This window comes from Homo sapiens, chromosome 20, assembly GCF_000001405.40.
Source record: "Homo sapiens chromosome 20, GRCh38.p14 Primary Assembly".
NCBI classification, from domain to species: Eukaryota; Metazoa; Chordata; class Mammalia; order Primates; family Hominidae; genus Homo; species Homo sapiens.
In genome coordinates this window covers 18,180,112-18,193,364 of record NC_000020.11, presented here as the reverse complement: position 1 = coordinate 18,193,364, position 13,253 = coordinate 18,180,112, and the positions used below count along the sequence as shown (strand labels likewise).

Below are 13,253 nucleotides of genomic sequence, written 5' to 3'. Positions count from 1 at the left end.
GTAATAATAATAGAAATAAAGTGCACAATAAATGTAATGTGCTTGAATCATCCTGAAACCATTCCCCCCTCAACCCCAGTCCATGGAAAAATTGTCTTCCACAAAACTGGTCTCTGGTGCCAAAAAGGTTGGGGACCACTACTTTAAGCCATAGAATGTGTTCAGTAGAGTGGTCTCCCTGCAGCCAGCTTGGAAGCTACAAAAGCCACAGACAATCCAATGTGTGTGAGGCTGCAACCTGGGCCTCCCAGGGCCTCCAGAAAGCCTCCCTGACCTTCCTAGTCCGCCTCCACCAGCTGCTACTGGCAGCACAGGAACTCCTCGGGAGGCAGCTCTGTCCTTGCCCAGGCTCACACTGTGGGCCGCACGTGGTGAGCTCCAGGAGCTGCTCAAGTCTGCTGCTTGTGGGACCACCAGGCAAGCTATCAGACCCCATTGTGCCCAGCCCTGAGGTGGCTGCATGCAGGAGCTGCTGGTTAGATTTCCAAAGTCATTATTAAAAGTTAAATTATATACATTAATTAAATCAATCATATTTAAAATCAATATTCAAAACGTACTAAATGTCAGCCAGGTGTAGTGGCTCATGCCTGTAATCCTAGCACTTTGTAAGGCTGAGGTGGGAGTATTGCTTGAGGCCAGGAGTTCAAGACCACCCTGGCCAACATAGCAAGACCCACCCTATCTCTATAAGATACAAACAAACAAAACAGCTTACTACATGACAATTAGATAATTGTCATGACTGCTTGTTACTATTACCTGTGCTTCTGAGGTAACTTCCATCTATTGTTTCTGCGTGACAGAAATACAATATAATGGTGGCTACTGTACACATCGTTCTACCTCTGGGTTTAGTGACATCACATTGGTAGCTTGAAAATTGGCCATAGAGCTGGGTGTGGTAGCTCACGCCTGTAATCCCAGCACTTGGGAAGGCCAAGGTGGGTGGATCACCTGAGTTCGGGAGATCCAGACCAGTCTGGCCAACATGGTGAAATCCCATCTCTACTAAAAATACAAAAATTAGGCCGGGCGCGGTGGCTCACATCTGTAATCCCAGCACTTTGGGAGGCCGAGGCGGGTGGATCATGAGGTCAGGAGATCAAGGCCATCCTGGCTAACACGGTGAAACCCCGTCTCTACTAAAAATACAAAAAATTAGCCGGGAATGGGGCGGGCGCCTGTAGTCCCAGCTACTCAGGAGGTTGAGGCAGGGGAATGGCATGAACCTGGGAAGTGGAGCTTGCAGTGAACCAAGACTGCGCCACTGCACTCCAGCCTGGGCGGCAGTGCGAGACTCTGTCTCAAAAAAAAAAAAAAAAAAAAATACAAAAATTAGCTGGGCGTGGTGGTCGTGGTGGGATTACACGCCTGTAATCCCAGCTACTTGGGAGGCTGAGGCAGGAGAATCACTTGAACCCAGGAGGCGGAGGTTGCAGTGAGCCGAGATTGTGCCATTGCACTCCACCCTGGGTGACAAGAGGGAAACTCTGTTTCAAAAAAAAAAAAGAAAAAAGAAAAAGAAAATTTGCCATAGTAACAGTATTTCACCATGAAAATCAGCAAACACTACACATCAGGGGCTTGGTTTACTGCTCCCCCTCTCCCCACCTCACCCCCAGTCTGTGGTCATTTATCAGCACATTACTGACTGCACCCAATGGGGACAAACTCCTAGGAGCTCTGGCTGTCCCAAGGGCTGAGGGGATTCACATGTGATGCACCTGGAACCTGCTCTGCTGGATAGAATGTTGGGTCTTCTGAGTTTCCAGGTGGACTTTGTCTCCATGCTTGGGCCAGTGGCCTTCCAGACCTATGCTCTGAGGTCACCTGCAATAAAATTCCACCTTATATGAGCAGCAAGGCTACAGAGGAAGGCTGAGCTGCCCTTCACACACGTGGGCTTGCCTGGAGCCATTCCATCTGTGACAGCACAAACTGTCCACCTTCCAGCCTCTTAACCTGAGCAGCCATCAGTCTTTTCCTTTAGCTCATAAAACTGAAATTTTACTACAGTCTTTGGTTACTTTTGTAGAGATTGTTCTAGCATGGGGTAACCTGTATATAATGTTGTAAGGTTCTAAGAGGCTAAGAGTTGCCTTTACCTATCCAGGCAAAGAGAAGGGGCTGGGTGCAATGAGAAACACTTATGATTTCTGATAAACAGAAAGATTCCATGCCTATATTTAAAAAGTGAAAAAAACAAGAGGCATTACTGAGGTCTCTCATCACATTGAACTCCCGGTACACACAGCTCATTTTCTCCCTCCTTCATCCAATGTGTGGAGTACTGGCTCTGTGCTGGGCACCACTCCAGGCACTGGGGGCAGTACCGAGCCAGACACACACAGACCCCCTAAACTACCCCCTACACCTCCCAGCCCCCTCCCCAAGGCTTAGCCAGAGCGGTGAAGGCTGAAGGCTGTGGTACCAGACTGCCTGGCTTTGAATTCAGGGTCCTCCATTTGTGATTTTCTTGACCTTGTTGTACCTATCACTACAAATGTGTGAGGTGGGTCTCATCAACCCTGTTTTACAGATGAGGAAGCTGAAGCATGACATTCACTAAGACTGTGAACTTGTTTCTCATAAATAACTGTAATACATTTCTCAGAGTCAAGTATGTACTAACAAACTCACAAGTATGTGAGTTAGGTATGTACTAATGAAGAGTCTCATGACCCCATGGCCATTCCCAGTTCTGAGGTACATTATGTTTTTACTGCAACTTCCTGCTGTTAGATACCTGGAGGATATGCTTAACCACACTGTGTAATGCAACCCCACATTGTGGGGTCAACCTGGATGCTTCTCCCCAGGGCTGTAGTGAATACACCAAGCCACTTGCAGGAGACAGTTCCAGGAAAAGGTCCCAAGGCAATGTGGCTTTTAGGTGATGAAAACTTTATGTAAAATATGTTAACTGCCTTTAGAAAATTTAAAATTATGTTTCTGGTTCTTAACCATCCTGCTGTAAATAGAGCTCAACCTCCCTAGAACAAGACTGAGTAAATATGGACAATAATTAATCAGAATTACTGCAACCCCCTAGGGATCCCAAAGGCCCACCTGGCTACCCCAGGCCACCTCCCAAGGGGACAATCCAGACTCTCTCACGAACACACAACTGAAGGCAGAGCTCTTCAGCTTGTCAGAACTCATTCAGAACTCATTCTCACTTTTGTGGCATGAAAAAACAAGCCTTCCTCCTTACTTGATATTCTGAAACTTCACAGTAAATTTTGACTTTAATCCACCAAAACATGGCTCTTCCGCAACCCAGCCCCAAGCCTGGCACTGTGGAGATTCACTTCTAGAGGACTAGCTAAGGGTTTACTACAGGGCTAGCTCAGAAGGGCCAGAGAGAAAGGCAGATCAAAACCGACAGCTGCCCCACACACAGGGGCCATCAAGCCCACCCCTGGGAAATGGCCCTGCCCCAACACCCAAGCAGGGAATGGAGTGGGGCAGGGAGTCAGCTGTCCCCACCCTCCGCTAAAGAGACAAGCATAGGTCCACTCCTCACCTTGTCCAGTCAGTCCTGCCCCATGAAGGACACCACAAGGACGCAACAGACAACCCACATGTGGGACATGCCATGGGACAACTGATGTTGTCAGTGGCAGTGCAGTAATAGGGCGGAGGCACTCTGGATGAACAGGCGGTGGAGACAGGACAGTAAGTCACTTATGTGGACCCTGCTTGGCCGCTGATCCAACAAACCAACTGTAAAAGGAATTTCTGAAACAATTCAAAAGGTGTGACTACAGGTTGACTGCTAGATAATTCCAAACATGTTCATCTTGTTAGAGGACTGATAATGAACACTGAGATTATATAAGAAAATATCCTTATTTTTTAGAAATACCTATTTGAGTAAGAAGTGGTAAAATTATATGATATCTAGAATTTACCTTCAGATAGTTTAGCAAAAAAAAAAAAGGATAAATGAAGCAAATGACATAGAATTTCAACAATTGTTGAATATGGGTGATGGGGTTTGTGGCATCATTGTCTTTGTGTGTGATTAAAATTTCTCAAAGGCCGGGTGTGGTGGCTCATGCCTATAATCCCAGCAATTTGGGAGGCCAAGATCACTTGAGCTCAGGAGTTCGAGACCAGCCTGGAAAACACGGTGAAACCCCATCTCTACCAAAAACACAAAAAATTAGCGAGGTGTGGTCGCGTGTTCCTGTGGTCCCAGCTATTCAGGAGGCTGAGGCAGGAGAATCACTTGAACCTGGGAGGCGGAAGTTGCAGTGAGCTGAGATTGCGCCAGTGCCACTTCACTGCAGCCTGGGCGACAAAGTGAGACCCTGTCTCAAAATTTAAAAAAGAAAAAAGAAATGAAAAGGGTTTTTAAAATTTCTCAAAATTAAAAAAAAAAAGTGAAACAGAGTCAGTAAAAGCAATCACAGCTTTCCTCAGCTCCCTGAAGTTACAGAGACAATTATTTGAGCCCCCACTTTGCAACAACAAATGCCTGACATTCACATACAACAATCACAAGCTGGTTTACAGATGTGGAAATGTTGTCTCCTCAATTTTACTTCGTGGTGTTACAATCCATTCTGTCAACAAAAACCTTCCAAAGAGGCAGAAAACTCTTGGGAGGCAGGGTAGGAGGTAAAGAAAAGGAAAGAAATAGATAAGACAGTGCTGCTACAGTTCCTCTCACAAATGAAATGGAGCCTCAACTGTTTCCCCAGATGACTGAACAGCTTCCAGATTGGCTTAATGTGGGAGCTCAACACATTCTCTCTCACAAAGGAATTCGAGCTGGCTGCAAGTACAGCTTCTAGAACAGATGTTCTTAACTTGTGGTCGACAGATCCCTGATGCAAAATTTTAAATGTGCATGACAGTTTTCTAGAGAGTATTCAGCTTTCTTTGTATTCTCAAAGTGATCCATGTCCCAAAAAGTTAAGAACCACTGATCTTAATTAAAGAGGGTTTGAAAGCAAACTGACTAGATTGACGCTCTGGCCATGGGTTGTGCAAAGAAAGCTTTTTATTTGAGAACACCTAGATACTTTTGGAAATGTTCTTGTTGGATCACAAACAACCTAATTGACAGTCTATCGCCAACATCCACAAACACAGCAAACAGTCCAGTCCTGCAGACCACACAGGGTACATCTAGAGGGTTCTACTTGCATCACCCACACTTCCACTCCTGTGAAACAACTGTCTTGGGCATGAGAAGGGCCAGGATAGGCCAGGTGAATGGCAGGCTGCCCAACAACCCCAATCCCAAACCAACCTCCCAGGCCATGGGCCCAAGTCCCTGCAGGAAGATGCTAATAGGTACAACAGGTAGAACATGTAGACACAAACATCTAGTTTATTTTTTCTGACTGTAACCAAAGTCAGCAAAAGAAACAACAAAACTTCAGTGCCCTAGAAATCCTCCTGGATTCAATGACAACACATCAATGGCCGGGCACAGGGTTGGATTCCTTTTATGAAATCACCTTATAATCTCTCATCATCCCAGGACAGTGCCTTTTGGGACTGCATGAATCTTTAATAGCTACACCACATTTTCTCATCCTTTAAGTTATGACAGACAGGTTATCTCTCTCCAAGAGCATCAGGTTAGATGCTCTTTCACTCTTACAAACTGTCAGGTGGAGGGAGAATCACGACATCATTCATAAATAACTGTGGAGTCTGGGATGCTGGCTGAAGGCATCTCCAGGAAGGACTGGAGGGCGATTTTGCTAAAGGGCTGCTCACTGCTCATTTCACTGCATGCCGCTTTTCTCACTTTGGTTGGGAGTTTGAAGGACCATGTAATCACAGAGATTAGAGCTCCCTGTGAAATCAATCACTGCCTTTAGATCTCCACAAAGACCTGTTCTCCAATAGCACATGCGTTTCTCTGTGAGCTGTATTCGCATCAGCGCCGGAGCCTCAGAAAGAATGCGTGTTTACACTCTGTACTCTCCAATGGGTAATATTTATCATAGAAATCTAATACATATTCTTCAGTCTTGAATCCAAACTTCTGGTACAGTAGCATAGCGGGGTTGCTTGCTGAGACGTGAAGGGTTACGTCCTTGCCCATGCAGGTCTGCCAAAAGAGTGGAAAAATACAAGATAAAAATGGAAAGGCCTGAGGGAAAATGAGTAGGTAAAGAAACGCTTTTAAGTGTAGGCAGTTAGTTATGGAAACCGGAGAAATCAGAGACTGAGGCTGAGACATTGCAACACCTAGCAACAGCTGGAAACAGAATGACATTTTGCTGCTGATCAAAACATTCACAAGACCAAGGAAACTGATAGTATTCTGGGTGTTTTTTATTTTTCTTTGAAGCAAAGGGTCAATGGGGATATTGTTATTGTCAGCTTTATTATTTACAACTCAATTACCTTTAAATATGTCAAACATTTCAATACCTAACACTATGATAACCTTGAATAAATACAAAACAAAATAAGTTTTGCTTTTTAAAACTAGATGTTATCTTGTACCTCCCCAAAACCTGTAAAAATTCCTTTACTAGGCCTGCTAAATTACATGCACAAACATGAAATATTAAGAATGTAATTATAAAACCTGAGGCCCTTGTATAGACCTTCTGAATCCCAAAGTCCACCTTCTGTCTCTCTAAAACTGACAGAATTAGCTTCTTAGAACTGAGATTTCTACATTCAGCTTTGACCTAATCTTAGGGGAAAAGAGTAACAATCATTCTATCAACACAAGGCAAGTCCTTAGATTCTTTAATCAGCTACACAGAGTAAGGTGTCCCAAAAGTCATATCATTTAAGAACTTACTTTTTAATAAAGAAGGCACTGAAATACTGAAGTTGATAGAGTCCTTGAGATTTATAACCCATGGTTCTCTCAGGCCTCTAAGAACTCCTCTGTTGACAGTCATCTGATAGCTACCTGCTTTCTCTGCTTAACTTCCATGTGTATCCATAGGCATTTTTAGGACAAGAGAGCACTTACCAGTATGCCAGGGACAAGAGCACTTTGTGAGTTTTTAAAGCAAATTTTGTGGGGTCATATTGGTGTTTGCTAGATTGCAAATATACGTGATCTCACCGTGGCCATCATTGAGTGCCAGCGACTGTGCGCCACCTATGTTTGGGCCCTCAGGGGTATGGTCTGGCTGGAGGGGAAGGTGCCCACCTGCAAAGATGAACCACTCCTCCAGTGGCCTCGCAAACACTCAGCAGGGACTGACTCTGTACCAGCCCTCATGTTGGGCACCAAGGACACACACACACAAGGACAGAGTACTATTCGTGCCCTGTCTTCAGGCCCTTACCAGTGACAGATACGGCAGCAAATCCTCTAAGTGCTCTCCTAGGTTAAAAAGACGCATACTGAGAGATCAACTCTTGGTTGGGATGGGGCAGAGAAAGGGAGTGTTGTAGAAATAACTGAGAAGCTCTCAAGAGAAAACCACCACCCAAAGTAGCACATATTAATTACTCAGTGAGTGATTTACATAATCACTGCCTAAGGAGAGAAGGAAAGCAATTTCTAGGAAAATGGTTCCAAGGTTCCTGCCAACATTTGGGAATTATTAAGCAAGTTTCATTAAAAATTGGAGAAACAACTTTTATCATCTTCATCTCCTCTTTAAAAGGAATCTTGCCTGCATAAACATATAATCCTCCATACCAAATGGTTTCTAAGTAAAAGTTGACTAAAAAAAATTCTAGGGGAAAAAAATCCTTGCATGTTTTTTGATGGTGATATATGGTGTATTTTCTTCAAAGGTGATACAAATATATTAAAGGATGAATTATAATTCAATACTAGAATCAAATCTTAGAAGGTTCATATCAGCCTTATACAGTGATAGTAAAATTACAAACTATCAGCAAAAATAAAATATGTAGCTAGGCACAGTGGCTCATGCCCATAATCCCAGCACTCGGGAGGCTGAGGTGGAAGGATTGCTTGAACCAAGGAGTTCAAGCACAGACCAGGCAACACAGTGAGACCCTGTCCCTACAAAAAATCAGCCGGGCATGGCAGTGTGCACCTGTGGTCCTGGCTACCCAGAAGGCTGAGGCGGGAAAATCACTCGAGCCCAGGAGGTTGAGGCTGCAGTGAGCTATGATTGTGCAACTCCAGTCTGGGTGACAGAATGAGACCCTGTCTCAAAAAATATATACATATTCTTATTGATACAGTTGTGCTAAAATGTTTACAAATATTTAAAAAAATAAAAATAATAGTCCTACCCTCACTTCTCTGAGTTGCGAAGGTGATGATCCTAAGAGCAGTAGCTACTACTAATATGAATAGTCCACCCTAAAGCTCTTGCTTTTGGTATTTTCTCATTTTATTTATACACATGTTCACAAACTGGTTTCTATGAAACCTGAGTCTGAATAATAATCTTATTTTAGAGGGTCGAAGATTTTTGACTGTGTGCTTTGATAACCTCATGAATGCTGATGACTGGCTTTCTTCACTTGGTTTACAAGGAAACCATTCCATTGGGCCATGCTGGGAAGGGCTAGCTCAGCTTCATTCCTCCTCCAGGTTGTTCAGGGGAGCCCAGACACAGGTGATAAATCATAAACATAGACAACTTACCTGAATCAGATGATAGATCATGAAAGTTGCAATCCCTGCTCTTCTCCATTCAGGGTGGACGAACAGAAATGAAATGTAAGCTTCATTGTATTTCACATCAGGAACCATGAAGCCAAAGGCAATGATGACTTTTTTATAAAGAACAACAACACTGAAGTCTGGGTACTGCAGACACTCAGACAGGTCAATGCCTAAAGAAAAGAAACCATCGGAGACTCAAACCACATGCCTTTGAGAATTAAGGAACACCAAGCTGTTCAGCATGTACATATAGCTACACCTGCATGCTAAAAAAAAAAAAAAAAAACACCAAAACTGGAGGTAACATAGAGACCACACAACCAGATCATAAAAATAAGAGTGAATTTTAGAAAATATTGAAATTACATAGTATTTCCTAAAAGAAGAGTGGCAGAATAGGGTAGGTAGCAGTGCACGGGTTCAGAATTGGACACAGCTGGCTTTGAACTCAGCCTCCTCTACCATGTGTGGCTTGGCACATTTCAAAATGTCTCAGAGACTCCGTTTCTGCAATATGTAAGATGAAGAGCATACCTAGACCTGACAGGGTTAAGTAAAGATCCTCCGAGCGTGTTCTATCACATCCTTTACCCCCCACACATATAATTTATAAGTTCTTTTGTACAAATGCTACCTTTCACAATAAATAAGTAAAATATGCTTCTGTGCATAATGTATGGAAGGCACCTAACATAAGGGCAGGAAGCAGGAGATGCTCCCAGAATGTTACTTTTGGCTCAGTATGACTCCCAAAAGAATGAGTGCAGCTCTGCCACCACATTCACAGTTATGTGATTATGTGACAATAAAGACGACACAGCTCTATCTTGATGAAATCGTATCTAACATCTGAAAGACATGTATTATTTCCTTTAGGTTTCAAGGCAGCGTGGGAAAGCAGATCCACAAAGAATAGTTTATATTTAGCAATGCAAATGTGTTCCTTTAATTAATGACTTTGGTCTTCAGAGGCAATTTTGTTAAGGCTGATAAAATGACAAATTATATTGGGTTTACCCTTATTCTCAGTCTGTGATCAGGGCATTTGGCTTTTAAAAAACACCTTCTGGCTGTACTAATACTCTCTAAGGAACAGCTAAATAAACAAAACATAAAGAATTATTAAGCCAAAAACAAAAGTGTCCAAACACGCCCAAGCTACCAGTCTGTGTATCTTTGATAGACATTACCTGGTATCTAAACATATGCAGAAGCAAAACAGGATGAATCTTTTACTCTGGAAACAGAGACAAACAGGGAAGAGAAACAAACAAAAACACTGTTTATTGCTGGCTTCTTCTAGATTTTGGGAAAGCAAGAGGTATTTGTATTTTAATATTTCCATGTTAGCAGAGACAAACTAAACGAAATCATAAATAAAAATCTTAAGGATATCACATAAACTAATTTTAAAAATTGCTAGAATGGACTGTACAGAAAAATGACCTGCCTGGTTTGGGAGGGGGAACATACCAGGCCAAAAAAACTCCTGACACATGGAGTTGATCGTTGGGATGTGATTTGGCCGCACATAACAGTAATCGAGAGGTGCGTCGGGCTCCGGCGTCCAGTGAGGGTCGCTCCTGTGCAGGTGGGAACGAATCTGTGACAGGAGCTGCAGTTTGGGTGGCTTTGTTTCATAATCACGCCTCCGGTACCACAGAAGATAAACAAATTCAAGTCAAGAAAAATACCTGGTATTATTCCTAGCTTTTTGACTCATATAAACTCTTTGATCTGCTTGAAACTTTAAAGTAACCTGCACTGTTTTACACGAAGCTGGCTTGATTACAGCTATACTTTTATGTATGAAATCTAAAATTCACTCTGAACATTCATCAGGCCAAAGCCCTCTGTACCCACCAGGGACTGTGCTAGGTGCCTTCATGAACAGTGAGGAAACAGATACAGCATCAGATTCACCCCAAGGAGTCAGACATGAGGATGCATCTCCAGTGCCTTGGAGGCCAGAAGAGGGAACACTCAACTTTGCGGGGCATTTGGGGAACACCAGAGACACAATGAGCTTGGAGCAGGCTCACAAACTGCTTCTCACTGTGCCTGCCCAGGAATGTGGTGCTGGCATGGAGGGTCAGGGTGATCATGGAGCTGCAGGGCAATTGTAGTGCAATGAGTGCAATAATGTGCTCTCATTTACAGTGCCAGACACTGCTGGGTCCTCTCTAGCAAGCTCAGCTTCCATTTCATTGCCTGGACAATGACATTCATTATTGGAAACTGCTTCATATACATCCAGTCCAGATGGAGGCTCAACTGAGATGTCTTTCACATTTTTTCATTTCAGACTACTAAAAATATACAACTTTAGTATTTAAAATAACATAATGAGGGCCGGCCCCAGTGGCTCACGCCTGTAATCCCAGCACTTTGGGAGGCCAAGCTGGGTGGATCACTTGAGGTCAGGAGTTCAAGACCAGCTTGGCCAACACGGTGAAACCCTGTCTCTGCTAAAAATACAAAAATTAGCTGGGCTTGGTGGTGCATGCCTATAATCCCAGCTACTTGGGAGGCTGAGGCAAGATAATTCCCTGAACCCCGGAGGCAGAGGTTACAGTGAGCCAAGATTGCACCACTGCAGCCCAGCCTGGGTGACAGGGCAAGAGTCTGTCTCAAAAAAAAAATAATAATAATAAATAAAACAATGATTATGATCATCACAAAGCAATCTTTCAGTTAATTTATTTTTGCTTTTTAAGTTTCTTTCAAAGGACCATGTTCTCTGCAAAAAAGTAGAGTTGAAACAAGCAAAGGACAAAACTGGAGGTGAAGCACAGAACTCAGTCCTTGCCAATGTTGTTCACAGTTTGTGATCTTTATTCTCTCCAACAGGAGAACAGGGCACAGAAACCACAATCATTATCCCTCATGACACACCTGACATCACACCTCTAGTTCTCCATATACCTGATATAAGGTTTCAAGATCCGAGAGGTATAAGGGCTGACAATACTCTGGTCCACAGCCATATCTTCTGATCCTACCAAGCGATACAAAAACTTGGTGGTCTGGTGTCGAAATCCCTTCCTGGACGGCAAGGAAGTCTATGAGAAAGAAACACTGGTTATATAGAAATAATTACTCAGGCTGGGCACAGTGGCTCATGCCGGTAATCCCAACACTTTGGGAAGCTGAGGTAGGCGGATCACAAGGTCACAAGATCGAGATCATCCTGGCTAACACGGTAAAACCCTGTCTCTACTAAAAATACAAAAATTAGCCGGCCGTGGTGGCAGGTGCGCCTGTAGTCCCAGCTACTTGGGAGGCTGAGGCAGGAGAATGGCGTGAACCCAGGAGGCGGAGCTTGCAGTGAGCCGAGATTGCACCACTGCACTCCAGCCTGGGCGATAGAGCGAGACTCCGTCTCAAAAAAAAAAAAAAAAAAAAAAGAAACAAAATTACTCTGAGGATTGGTTAATTTCCATATATAATTAGTATCATATTTTTATGTGTCATAAAGTAGGTCTTTTTGTATTACTTATTTGGAAAGCTCAAACTTCAATACAAAGTTTATAGACACCTTTGCATAAAACTAGACACAAAAAACCCCAGCTGTTTAAAATAAAAATAATAATTTTAAAATTCTGAAGTCATTTAAAAATTTTTTTTAACTCATTAGAGGGAGTGAGATGCAGGATTGAACACTGGATTTGCAGCTTCTCTAGGCTTCACTTTGTCTATATTATGCCTTCAACCCATTCACTAAATATTAACTAGTATCAAGTAGGTAACACACACATGAGTCATATTATATGATTGCTCTGTTATCCAAAGAGCCACTGGGGCCAACTACTACTGTATATAGAATTTTTGAAATACATCTCTGATATGGTTTGGCTCTGTGTTCCCAGACAAACCTCATCTTGAATTGTACTCCCTTAATTCCTTTGTGTTGTGGGAGGGACCTGGTGGGAGATAATTTGAATCATGGGGGCGGTTTCCACCATACTGTTCTCGTAGTGAATAAGTCTCACAAGGTCCGATGTTTTGTTTTTTTTAATCAGGGGTTTCTGCTTTTGCATCTTCCTCATTTGTTTCTTGCCACTGCCCACTAAGAAGTGTCTTTCACCTCCTGCCATGATTCTGAGGCCTACCCAGCCATGTGGAACTGTAAGTCCAATTAAACCTCCTTTTCTTCCCAGTCTTGGGTATGTCTTTATCAGCAGCATGAAGACAGACTAATATAATAAATTGGTACCAGGAGTGGGGTGTTGCTGAAAAGATATCTGAAAATGTGGAAATGACTTTGGAACTGGGTATTAGGCAGAGGCTGAAACAGTTTGGAGGGCTCATAAGAAGACAGGAAAATGTGGGAAAGTTTGGAACTTCCTAGAGATTTGTTGAATGGCTTTGACAAAAATGCTGATAGTGATATGAACAATAAGGTCCAGGCTGAGGTGGTCTCAGATGGAGATGAGGAATTTGTTGGGAATTGGAGCAAAGGTGACTCTTACTATGTTTTAGCAAAGAGACTGCTGGCATTTTGCCCTGCCCTAGAGATCTGTGGAACTCTGAATTTGAGATGATTTAGGGTATCTGGTGGAAGAAATTTCTAAGCAGCAGAGCATTCAAGAGGTGACTTGAAGGCCAGGCATGGTGGCTCATGCCTGTAATCCTAGCACTATGGGAGACGGAGGTGGGC

General features: G+C 43.2%; 1 protein-coding gene across 16 annotated transcripts in view; it reads right to left on the bottom strand.

The window, feature by feature from the left end:
• Positions 1–5,329: 5,329 nt before the first annotated feature.
• KAT14 (lysine acetyltransferase 14) overlaps positions 5,330–13,253 on the bottom strand; it is a 50,883-nt gene continuing 42,959 nt past the window's right edge. For 13 of the 16 annotated variants that reach the window (NR_028402.4, NM_001392075.1, NM_001392072.1 and 10 more), the window contains 4 exons: positions 11,519–11,655; positions 10,067–10,242; positions 8,573–8,763; positions 5,330–6,079 (listed from right to left, as the gene is read on the bottom strand). Coding sequence is in view for 15 of the 16 variants with exons in the window: in NM_001392075.1 (NP_001379004.1) it covers positions 5,906–6,079; positions 8,573–8,763; positions 10,067–10,242; positions 11,519–11,655 (678 nt within the window). In the remaining variant the exon portion in view is untranslated. The remainder of the gene's footprint in view (positions 6,080–8,572; positions 8,764–10,066; positions 10,243–11,518; positions 11,656–13,253) is intronic. The other 3 variants (NM_001392079.1, NM_001392080.1, NM_001392081.1) reach the window with 2 other exon arrangements.